This window comes from Homo sapiens, chromosome 21 (genome assembly GCF_000001405.40).
Source record: "Homo sapiens chromosome 21, GRCh38.p14 Primary Assembly".
Lineage (NCBI taxonomy): Eukaryota > Metazoa > Chordata > Mammalia > Primates > Hominidae > Homo > Homo sapiens.
Window position 1 is genome coordinate 36,213,752 of NC_000021.9, and position 12,685 is coordinate 36,226,436.

The following is a 12,685-nucleotide window of genomic DNA, read 5'->3' on the forward strand; positions in this document are numbered from 1 at the left end:
CTGGTTTCGAACTCCTGACCTCAGGTGATCCACCCACCTTGGCCTCCCAAAGTGCTGGGATTACAGGCGTGAGCCACCGCGCCCAGCCAACAGGGTGAATTCTTAGAACAAACTAAATTGATACCCATTGAGGTGGAATTCTGCCTGTCTGATCATTAGCCACACCACTGTCAGAAGAAGAAAATCTGACGTGGTCTTTCTGGATCTGATTTTGGTTTTCCATCAGAAGAATGATATTTTTAAAAATATTGGAGCATGAGACTTTTGCACAATATGATGTCCTTTAAAAGCACAGCTCTCTTTACAGCTCGGCGCTTGTTCTTTTGTAGGCTCAGACATAAAAGGAAATACCGTTGTGCCAGAATCTGAAATCTCAAATTCTTATGAAGACCAGTCGTCTTATTTTTTTGAAAAATACTCCAAGGATCTTTTAGTTGAGGTAAAGGAGCATTTCCGGAAAGTTCAGGGTATCCTTGGTGACGATTCTCCAGTGGATTTCTTTGGGAGGCTTCCACATAGGCAGTGAGCACGTTCCTTGGCCCCTGGTTTGGGGAACTGCAGGGTATTTGTTGCATGCTGGGTGACTGGTTTTCCTTCTGTCCCAGAGTATTTAACAATTAGAATAGCCAGTAATGTTGTTACACTTTATGATATACGATATTCTAATATGTGGCTTTTTTTAAATAATAGGGTTTGGCTGAGATATTGCATCAGAAGTTCATAGATGCTGACGTGGAGGAACGCCATCATGCATACCTGAAGCCTTTTCGCGTCCTCATCAGTCTGCTTGACAAGCCAGAAATAGGTAATGTTAGAAATGCTGCTTCTATCCTATGCTGAATACAGATTACCTGTTTTCAGGGAAATACAACATGGTGAGATACAACCAAAGCGTTATTTTGAATATAATTTAATATTTGGAATTTCACAACTTTGAAGTCATGTTATATGGTTCAATGATCATATCTGTGGTCACTTACAAGTTTTGCATGGCTGGGCGCAGTGGCTCATGCCTGTAATCCTAGCACTTTGGGAGGTAGAGGAAGGAAGATCACTTGAGCTCATGGATTTGAAACCAGCCTGGGTAATATGGCTGAAAAGCCATGTTGAAAAACCCCATCTCTATAAAAAAATACAAAAAAATTAGCCAGGCGTGGTGGTGCTTCCCTGTAGTCCCAGCTACCAAGTGGCTGAGGTGGGAAGACCACCTGAGCCCAGGGGGTCGAGGCTGCAGTGAGCTGTGATTGTACCACGGCACTCCAGCCTGGGCGACAGAGTGAGACCCAGTCTGAAAAAAAAGTTTTGCACAATAATTTGAACATTTTTTGTTAGGAAAATACCTTTGAGCTCCTATAGTGTCTACAGAACATGTGGTATTTCCTTTTTAAGCCTATTTTTTCAATGTCATACTTAAAATGAGCTTTGGTTTGATTTTCAATTAAGTAGGGGACCCCGTCCATCTTTTTGCCTTGGGATCCTGGGCAAGCCACTTCTTTTCACTGTGGAGAGTAAAAACATTTTCACTGTAAAATGAAGAGGGTTGAACTAGACTCTGGTCACCAAAGGCTCCCTTCTTAGATACTATGGTCCTATGAGCATAGGTTGAGAAAAGTGACCTTCTCTCACTATTTATTTATTTATGAATGAATGAATGAACGAATGAATGAATGGCAGAGTCTCGCTCTGTTGCCCAGGCTGGAGTGCAGTGGCGCAATCTCGGCTCACTAAAACCTCTGTCTCCTGGGTTCGAACAATTAATTCTCCTGCCTCAGCTTCCCCAGTAGCTGGGATTACAGGCATGTGCCACCATGCCTGGCTAATTTTTGTATTTTCAGTAGAGACAGGGTTTCATCATCTTGGCTAAGCTGGTCTCAAACTCCTGACCTCAAGTGATCCACCTGCCTCGGCCTCCCAAAGTGCTGGGATTACAGGTGTGAGCCACTGCACCTGGCCCTCTCCCTCACTTTAAAAAGAAATTTGCGACCAGGCACGGTGGCTCACACCTGTGATCCCAGCACTTTGGGAGGCCGAGGCAGGTGGATCATGAGGTCAGGAGTTCAGGACCAGCCTGGCCAAGATGGTGAAACCCCATCTCTACTAAAAATACAAAAATTAGCTGGGCATGGTGGCGCGTGCCTGTAGTCCCAGCCACTCGGGAGGCTGAGGCAAGAGAATCGCTTGAACCAGGGAGGTGGAGGTTGCAGTGAGCCGAGATTGCGCCACTGCACTCCAGCCTGGCGACAGAGCAAGACTCCATCTCAAAAAGAAAAGAAATTTGCGGCCAGGTGTGGTGGCTCACACCTGTAATCCCAGCACTTTGGGAAGCTGAGGCAGGTGGATCATGAGGTCAGGAGTTCAGGACCAGCCTGGCCAAGATGGTGAAACCCCATCTCTACTAAAAATACAAAAATTAGCTGGGCATGGTGGCGCGTGCCTGTAGTCCCAGCCACTCGGGAGGCTGAGGCAAGAGAATCGCTTGAACCAGGGAGGTGGAGGTTGCAGTGAGCCGAGATTGCGCCACTGCACTCCAGCCTGGCGACAGAGCAAGACTCCATCTCAAAAAGAAAAGAAATTTGCGGCCAGGTGTGGTGGCTCACACCTGTAATCCCAGCACTTTGGGAAGCTGAGGCAGGTGGATCACCTGAGGTCAGGAGTTCAAGACCAGCCTGGCCAACATAGTGAAACCCCATTCCTACTAAAAATACAAAAATTAGCCAGGCATGACAGTGCACACCTATAATCGCAGCTACTTGGGAGTCTGAGTCAGGAGAATTGCTTGAACCCAGGAGGTGGAGATTGCAGTGAGCTGAGATCGCACCATTGCACTCCAGCCTGGGCAACAGAGTGAGACTCCGTCTCAAAAAAAAGAAATTTGCTACCATATCAGCTCACTTTAAGGTCTGCATCTGCTTATGTGAGCCCTATACCAGGGAAAAGATCCCCATGTCTTCCATAGGATTGCAAGCCTAAGAATGTCATTTCAGTGCTCCAGGTGTACCTACCTCCTGGTAGCTGTTTGCAGAGGACAAGAGAGCTGAGGGCTGGCCGGGTGTGGTGGCTCATGCCTGTAATCCCAGCACTTTGGAAGGCCAAGGTGGGCCTCACTTGAGGTGAGGAGTTTGAGACCAGTCTAGCCAATATGGTGAAACCCCATCTCTACTAAAAATACAAAAATTATCCAGGCATGGTTGTGCACACTTGTAATCCCAACTACTTGGGAGGCTGAGGCACAAGAATCACTTGAATCTGGGAGGCAGAGGTTGCAGTGAGCAGAGTTCACACCACTACACTCCAGCCTGAGTGACAGAGCGAGACTCCATCTCAAAAAAAAAAAAAAAAAAAAGAGAGCTGAGGGCATTAGTGAAGTGGCCTCTCTCTGGCCTTGGGATGGAGGCCCTTCGCTTATCCATTCAAAAGCACAGAGCATCTGCCATGTGGCAGGGATGGTGCCAGCTCTAGGGGGACAAAAGGGGAGCAGCTTCTCATGAAGTTAGAGGGAAGGGGAGACTCCATGTTCCTGGAGTGTTTTTACTGTTCATTAATAATAACCATGGCTGACATTTTTTGAGCAATTATTTTGTGCCAAGTGATTTACATACATCCTTTTATATCTGTCTGCACACACACCTCTGTCCCTCCAACAACCCCAAGGTAGGTTCTCCCACTATGCCTGTTTTACAAATGGAAAGACTAAGGTTGGGTGGGAGTAGGTAATTTGCCCAGGGCCAGTCAGGAGCCTAAGCTGGGTTTGTCAGCACCCCCCGATGCTTGCCTGATTGCACTCAGAGAAGTCCTACCCGAGATGTTTGCCTCTGTCACCAGGTGAACTTTATTCCAAGAGTTGTGCAGCTCTCGTCATTCTTAACGAAAGTCCAAGTATGAAGCTTTTGTTCTTCCAGGCTCTGCCCATGATGTGCTGCCTCAGGGTGTCTGCACTTTGTTCAGATTCCTCTTCCCATCTGCCCGCTCCCACCTTAAACCAAATAGATTTTCCTGCTAGTGTAGAGTAACTGCAGCTCTGAAAAATCATGATTTAGTCCAAAAAGTGGAACACTTATATAAATGTATTGGGAGCTTGCTGTGTAACTTCAGGGAAGTATTAAAAGAAGAAAATATAACTTAGCATTCTGGAGATGTGTGTTTTATGTCAAAGCCATGCACCTTGGTGAGCCAAGTAAACGTTGCTGCTAACTTGGCTCCAGGTCGTATTTTCTGGAAGCAAATGAATATCACGCTCCTGCCCAATCATAACAGTCACTTAATTTACTCTTTCCAATTTTTTAGCTGTCTGCAAGAAATCACACTCAGGAGGCAAAGGAGGTGATTATACAGAACTAGAAGGCACAGGACGGCCATTCAGTCCAGTCCATACTTTTTGTGGCTGGGCTTTAGCCATACCTCATTTCCTCCTCCATCAATCAAGGCAACAAAATTGCCTTCATTTTTGTAACAAGCATTTAGCATTCTTATGCTGTAGATAAAATACACAGGAAGCCAAGGCCAGGTGCGGTGGCTCACACCTGTAATCCCAGCACTTTGGGAGGCCGAGGCAGGCAGATCACCTGAGGTCAGGAGTTCAAGACCAACATGGCAAAACCCCACCTCTACTAAAAATATAAAAATTAGCTGGGCGTGGTGGCACACACCTGTAATCCCAGCTGCTTGGGTGGCTAAGGCGAGAGAATTGCTTGAACCCGGGAGGCGGAGGTTGCAGTGAGCTGAAATCATGCCACTGCACTCCAGCCTGGGCAACAGAGCAAGACTCTGTCTCCAAAAAAAATAATAATAAATTCTATCTTAAAAAAAATACACAGGAAACTTAGCATGAAAATAATTCTCTCAGAGGCACATCTTTTGGTTTTGTGAAAAGAAGTGTAAAAGATTGGATTAATCTGCTTTTTTGCCAGTGTTGACAGAGCTTTCATTTTCTCTGAATTGATTGTGTGTTTCTGCCTTTGGATACATGGGTAAGAAGTCAGGCCCTCAGCTGCCTGAGGGTTGCGGTTTGCGGAGCAGCAATGCCCTGCCCATCCCCTGCCTGGTTGCAGGGAAGCTTCTCTAACATGCAGCTGGTCCAGTTCTTTTGTGCCATCTTTCTCAGCGTTTCAGGATAGCCATCATTTCTTTTGTGTTGCTCCAGCTCATGACTAAAGGAATTGAAGAAGTTGCCCTGCTCTCTGGATATTTCTGTTGAGTAACGTCCCTGGCCAGCAGTTTATGCACACTTAACACACGTAGTCTGCGCTCTGCCTCTATCTAGCAGAATCTGCTTTGGGCAAGTTACTTAACCTCTCTGTGCTTCCATCTCCTTATGTGTAATCAGCAGTACAGGATCTGTCTGCATGGCTGTTACGAGGGTTTAATACGTTAATAGATGTAAAACGCGTAGAAGGGTGTCTGGCACACAGGAAGTTCTACAAAAATGTTGGCTATTTTCATGAATGTTGTTTCCCCAGCTAAAGTTGTCACCAGTAAAGTTAAGTTTCTGTATATTTTAGACTATATAAAATGTCTGTCTGCACAGGTTTACTGTATATATGTCTTATGTATATACATATGTCACTTACTGATTTAAAGGGGATTGTTAATCTGTCTCTGACCATCTTCCTTCTAATTACAGGGCCTCAAGTGGTTGGGAATTTGTTTCTCGAAGTCATCAGGGCCTTTTATTCTTACTGCAGAGATGCCCTTGGCTCTGATCTTAAACTTAGCTACACCCAGAGTGGAAATTCGCTGATAAGGTATGGGTTTGGCCTTGAACCTCACGCATCTCTCTCCCTCCCCGGTACTGTGATTTTTTTTTTCCTCTCTTGCTTACTATAAATTGTGAAGTGGTAGAGAAAGCAGAGATGCAGCAGGTGAGACCATTGGTGAAAATAATCAATGCGTTGAAGTCAGTCCATGGGAATTGACTGTTCCCTACTGAGTACGGTGAAGAGTTTAAAGGGAGTTTGATATAGTCTTTCCCCCAGCCTGGGATGGACAGGTATTTATTGATTTTTTGATCAAGTATGAAACAATGAAATGTATGTATTGATCAAGTATGAAACTCGTTTAACAAAGGCAGCTTGATCTAGTATACCCAAGTGGTGAGTTACAGGGCAGAGAGAACAGAGAAAATGGAGGGGAGGGCACCTGGCAAGTGGAAAGGGGATGTGAGTCTTCAGGACAGGAGTCCAGGGGGTGTTGGGGGAGATTGGGGGAGACCCAGGCAGGGCACCGGAGAGCACAGGCTCCATTCCCCCAGAGGCAGAGTGAGTGGTGTTTGGAAGACAGCGGGCACATTGGCCTCACGTGCGCAGTTACACACAAACCCTGTTTTGTTTGTTTATTTTGTTCCTTTTAAGGGAATACAACTTTTTCCTTTTTGCTTTACTCTTAATGTAATTTCCTTCTGCCTGAACTAGCATTGGGTACATTGAAAATTTAAATCAATGTTAATATTTTTCTGGTTTGTTAGTTGTAAGTGTACTAAGAGTTCTTAGTGTTTGCTTTTTTCTCCCAGAATGAAAGCGGTTTATTGTTTTTCTGAGTATGAAAGTAATACATGCTCATTGTTGCATTTACTGATATTTGAAAGATCAAGAAAAAAGGTGTCACACGTAATCCTAGCACTCTTCAGAGAAAACCATAAAACATTTTTACTTCTTTCTAGATTTCTACTACATACATAAATACATAGATGCCTGTCTTTTATTTTAAAGGTAGAATTACACCAGTTATTTAGTTGCTTGGGGTTTTCTTTTTGTTTTCTTGTTGGTTTGTTTGTTTGGTTTTGAGACAGGGTCACCCAGGCTGGAGTGCAGTGGCGTGAACATGGCTCTCTGCAGCCTCAGTCTCCTGGGCTCAAGCGATCCTCACGCCTCAGCCCCTTAAGTAGCTGGGACTACAGACATGCACCACCATGCCCAGCTAATTTTTTTTTTTTTTTTTTGTGGAGATGAGGTTTCACCATGTTGCTCAGGCTGGTCTCAAACTCCTGAGCTCAAGCAATCTGCCCACCTCAGCTTTTCAAAGTGCTAGGATTATAGGTGTGAGCCGCCATGCCTGGTACTCTCTGGAGTGTCACTCTCCAGCATGACAAGGTCTCACTCTGTCTCCCAGGCTAGAGCACAGTGGCACCATCAATGGTCACTGCAGCCTTGAACTCCTGGGATCAAGTGATCCTCACACCTCAGCTTCCCAAGTAGCTACGACTATAGGCACACACAACCACACCTGGCTAATTTTTAATTTTTCTGTAGAGACAAGGTCTTGCTATGTTGCACAGGCTGGTCTTGAATTCCTGGCCTCAAGCAGTCCTCCTGCCTCAGCCTCCCAAACTGCTGGGACTACAGGTGTGAGCCACTGTGCCCGGCCACTGCTTGTTTTTTAAAATGCAAGTTGTGAGTAGCTCTACACTATTCTCCTATGGGATTAGTTGCCTTAGATATTTGTTAAGGATTTATCATTTATTTAAGGCCAAGTGCAGTGGCTCACGCCTGTAATTTCAGCACTTTGGGAGGCCAAGGCAGGCGGATCACTTGAGGTCAGCAGTTCAAGACCAGCCTGGCCAACATGACAAAACCTGGTCTCTACAAAAAAAATACAAAGGTTAGCCGGGTGTGGTGGGCCATGCCTGTAGTCCCAGCTACTTGGGAGGCTGAGGCATGAGAATTGCTTGAACCTGGGAGGTGGAGGCTGCAGTGAGCCAAGATCGTGCCACTGCACTCCAGCCTGGGCGACAGAGCGACACTTCATCTCAAAAAATAAATAAAAATAATAAATCCTGACTGACCAATTTCTTATTGATTGACTTTTAGACAGTTTCTGCTTTTTCAGTTTTGTTTGTTTGTTTGCTTTTGAGACAGAGTCTTGCTCTGTTGCCCAGGCTGGAGTGCAGTGATGTGGTCTTGGCTCACTGCAACTCCACCTCCCAAGTTCAAGTGATTCTCCTGCCTCAGCCTCCTGAGTAGCTAGGATTACAGGCACCTGCCACCACTCCTGGCTAATTTTTTGTATTTTTAGTGGAGATGGGGTTTTCACCATGTTGGCCAGGCTGGCCTCGAATTCCTGACCTCGTGATCCACCTGCTTCAGCCTCCCAAAGCACTGGGATTACAGGCATCAGCCACTGCGCACAGCCTGTTTGTTTGTTTTTGAGACGGAGTCTCGCTCTGTACCCAGCCTGGGGTGCGGTGGCGCCATCTCGGCTCATTGCAACCTCCACCTCCTGGGCTAAAGCAATTTTCGTGCCTCAGCCTCCCGAGTAGCTGGGATTACAGATGCCCACTATCATATCTGGCTAATTTTTATGTTTTTAGTAGTGACAGAGTTTTGCCATGTTTGCCAGGCTGGTCTCAAACTCCTGACCTCAAGTGATCTGCCTGCCTCGGCCTCCCAAAGTGCTGGGATTGCAGGTGTGAACTACCACACCCGGCCTTTTTCAGTATTTTTTAATGGCCATTTAGTGGTACACTTCTGCACACATCTATGTAGCTGTGCAGGGATTTCGGTAGGATAAATTTCTTGAATAAATTTCCTGAGCCATAGAAGATAAAATTTAAGGCTGGATGCTATGGCTTATGCCTGTAATTCCAGCACTTTGGGAGGCTGAGGCAGGTGGATCACTTGAGGTCAGGAGTTTGAGACCAGCCTGGCCAACATCACGGTGAAACCCCGTCTCTACTAAAAATACAAAACTTAGCTGGGCGTGGTGGTGCACGTCTGTAATCCATCCTAGCTACTCGGGAGGCTGAGGCAGGAGAATCGCTTGAACCTGGGAGGCAGAGATTGCAGTGAGCCGAGATTGTACCACTGCACTCCAGCCTAGGAAACAGTGAGACTGTGTCTCAAAAAAAAAAAAGAAGATAAACATTTAAAATCTTGGCTGAATTTCCCTGCTGAATATCCATGTACCATGTTATTCCACCAGTAGAGTATGGACTAAAACTGATTTTCTGTACAAATTCTTTTTACAGTAGCTCTGAAATTATTATTATTTTATTTTTATTTTTATTTTTTGAGACAGAGTCTCACTCTGTCATCCAGGCTGGAGTGCAGTGGCTCAATCTCAGCTCACTGCAACCTCCGCCTCCCAGGTTCAGGCGATTCTCCCACTTCAGCCTCCTGAGTACCTGGGATTACAGGTATCCGCCATCATGCCCTGCTAATTTTTGTATTTTTGTAGAGACAGGGTTTCACCATGTTGGTCAAGCTGGTGCACCCACCTCAGCCTCCCAAAGTGCTGTGATTACAGGTGTGAGCCACCGCACCCAGCTCTGAAATTTATTTTTAAGAGACTGTATCAATATAAATATTGTTTACGATGGCATTATGCAAACACATTATAAGAACAGTAATATTTTCATTTTTATCAGGGTGTGTCAGCTTCTCTAGAAATAAGTTGCAGATGGTGAAATCAATTACAGTTTTTTGGACACTTTTTGTAATTCAGGATTTTTTTATAGACATATTTATTCATGTCCTCCCCTTTTACAGTGCAATCAAGGAAAACAGAAATGCCTCTGAGATTGTCAAAACGGTAAATTTGCTGATAACTTCTCTAAGCACAGACTTTCTCTGGGATTATATGACAAGGTGTTTTGAGGAATGCTTTAGGTAAGTATGCAGTTCAAGAATGCAGAATATTTAGGAAGGATGAGAGGGTTTAATAATTTTGTAGCTGCTTAGAATATCAGATTATATATAAGTAGCTGAAGCTGAGTAGTCTTTCCTGAGTTTTAAAATTCAACTAAAACAGGATTGGAAAGAATTCACTTAAGATTCTAGCAGAATAAAAACATCTCCAATAAGAAGGTTCACATAATCTTTGCCATGTAATTCTGAAGCTGCTTTAAAAGTCTAACTTTAGAAAATCCTCAGCGCATTTTCTGGTTACATTCATCAAATCAGCTTTCCTCTCCTGGCTGCCCGATCTATTGAAAGCAGCTTAGTTTTGTGGCTTTGTGACTGGATAGAGTGTTTTTGAAACTCTTGCTGAAATGAATGTAACTGGTCAGATAAAAGCATTAATGTTTTAAGCTACTATAATCAGCTTTACCATCTCTTTTAACCGGGTGAATTGCACCACCCCTAAATTGTTTGCAGTGGCGTACCCCAGGAATACCGAGCTTTCCTGGAGAGCCCTTTCCCATGCCATTTTCTTTACGGGAGGAATAAGGTCATGTCTCAAACCCTGTTTTGTCCTGAGGCATGCTGTAAAACTTATTTCTTGTTCATCTCCACTGTAATGCTCTTGGCTGTTTCAGAGTCTTACTTCTCAGCTGCTACCACTACACTTTTCTGCCCAAATAAGCTCACAACCCTGGGAAAAATAAGTTAATTGCAATTGGATCCACAGGCAACAGCAAGGCCATATTATATTGAGGTTAGAGTATGCTTTGGTCAGCCTGGTTGTTATGTTATTTTTTATTTTATGACGGAGTCTCTGTCTCTCACCGAGACTGGAGTTCACTGGCACGATCCCAGCTCACTGCAACCTCTGCCTCCCAGGTTCAAGCGATCCTCCCATCCTGGCCTCCTAAATAGCTGAGACTACAGGCTCAGCCTCCCAAGTAACTGCGACTACAGGTGCACGCCACCACACCCAGCTAATTTTTGTATTTTTAGTAGAGACAGGGTTTCACCATGTTGGCCAGGCTGGTCCCAAACTCCTGACCTCAAGTGATCCACCCGCCTTGGCCTCCCAAATTGCTGGGATTACAGGCATGAGCCGCCGCATCTGGCCATCCTGGTTATTAAAAAAAAAAAAAGAATAAAATGTTTCTACCCAGATAGAGCTGACTCTCCATCTTTGCAACATTTTGTCCTCTTTTCATCCCAGAGTTAATCCCTGTCCTGAGATTAATGTCTGTCTTCAGTGTAACATGGCTTTGCTGTTGCCTGTGGATCCTATTACAGTTAATTTATTCATCCCAGGGTTATGAGATGAAAAGCAATAGATACTTTTTAACTTACCCATTTATCTAGTAGCCTGTTTATTTTAAAAGAAGTCTTGAATTTCAGTATAAGATAAGCAACTAACAATAGTTGATTGGTGGGGTTACACTTCTCTACAGAAGCTGAAACTTTCTAGGCAACTCAGGTGCTGATAAACTCCTGGAATTACTTGGAGAGGAGTAGTCCCAGGCCACTCCTACAGCAGGGTGAACAGCCATGTGGACTGTGGTGTTCTCCAGCCCAGCCTCGTTCCCTTGGATCGTGCTTTTGGGCTTGGACTGGGGACTTGGGATTACATCTGTCGATGGTACTCCAGGTCTCCTGGGAGACACCTGAATTGGTAGAGTTCAAGTCAGAGGGAATCTGTTTGGACACCAACAGATTCAGGACACTTATTGACACTTCTACATGTTAGATACTTTTAGTCACCAAAATTTAGTTATGAGAACTACAAAAGCTGCCTTCCATTATGTTTGAAGTAGAATAACGTTACTGGAAATTGTAAGAAATGCTTGGACTTACCGCAGGAAGAAGAATTGATTTTTTTTTTTTTTCTGAGACAGAGTCTTGCTCTGTCACCCAGGCTGGAGTGCAGTGGTGCGATCTTGTCTCACTGCAACCTCTGCCTCCCGGGTTCAAGTAATTCTCATGCCTCAGCCTCCCAAGTAGCTAGGACTACAGGCGTGGGCCACCACACCTGGCTAATTTTTTTGTACTTTAGTAGAGATGGGGTTTCACCATGTTGCCCAGGCTGGTCTCAGACTCCTGAGCTCAGACAGTCCACCCATCTCGGCCTCCCAAAGTGTTAAGATTATAGGTGTGAGCCTCCATGCCTGGCCAAAGAATGGATTTTTTCTTTGCTGTGATTTATAGACCAGTGAAGCAGCGTTACAGCGTGAGGAACAGCGTCAGCCCTCCCCCCACGGTCTCGGAGCTCTGCGCCCTCCTGGTCTTCCTGCTGGATGTCATTCCTTTGGTGAGTGCTGGGGAAGGGACATCTCAACGCCTGCTATTATTTACATTCTTACTGGTGGTGATGGCCTGCTTTATCAACCTCACATTACTGAAAATGTTTTACATAAATATGCAACACTGTTTTGATGTTTGTTTTGGCATAAAAGATATAGCTGGATGTAATCTCTTAAATTTTTAATGTCTTATTTAAAAGGGGCTATAACTTTTGGGCCAGTTGTAAGTGGGCAAAGCTGAAGTTAGGTCAACCAGCTGAAGAACTGGGTATCATTCCCGTACTACAGTTACTTTAGGGAAAGAGTCAATACATTTCCTAGTTAAAATTGTGCTGTTGGCTAATTTTCTCAAAGGAAACTAATTTCCTTAATGTAGAAACGTGCCAATTTTATTTTTTATTAGAAAGTGTAAAGCCACTTGCAAGGAGAGGAGTAACATCCTTGATTTGTCTAGATCAAATTGAAATACCGAGCCTAGCTCTGTGGTATGCGCTCGTAATTCCCAGCTACTCAGGAGGCTGAGATTGGAGCATTGCTTGAGCCCAGGAATTTGAGACCAGCCTGGACAGCATAACATGATCCAGTCTCAAACAAAAACAATAGAAATGTTCTTTTCTTTTCTCTGTCTCTCTCTCTCTTTTTTTTTTTTTCTCCTGTGACAGAGTTTTGCTCTTGTTGTCCAGGCTGGAGTGCAATGGTGTGATCTCGGCTCACTGCAACCTCCGCCTCTGGGGTTCAAGTGATTCTCCTGCCTCGGCCTCCCAGGTAGCTGGGATT

At 44.8% G+C, this 12,685-nt stretch overlaps 1 protein-coding gene across 5 annotated transcripts in view; it reads left to right on the plus strand.

The window, feature by feature from the left end:
- The window catches only part of DOP1B (DOP1 leucine zipper like protein B), a 137,451-nt gene that overhangs the window by 56,928 nt on the left and 67,838 nt on the right, over positions 1-12,685 (plus strand). For all 5 annotated transcript variants that reach the window (XR_937581.4, XR_007067795.1, NM_001320714.2 and 2 more), the window contains 5 exons: positions 330-439; positions 691-805; positions 5,621-5,741; positions 9,480-9,599; positions 11,814-11,916. Coding sequence is in view for 3 of the 5 variants with exons in the window: in NM_001320714.2 (NP_001307643.1) it covers positions 330-439; positions 691-805; positions 5,621-5,741; positions 9,480-9,599; positions 11,814-11,916 (569 nt within the window). In the remaining 2 variants the exon portion in view is untranslated. The remainder of the gene's footprint in view (positions 1-329; positions 440-690; positions 806-5,620; positions 5,742-9,479; positions 9,600-11,813; positions 11,917-12,685) is intronic.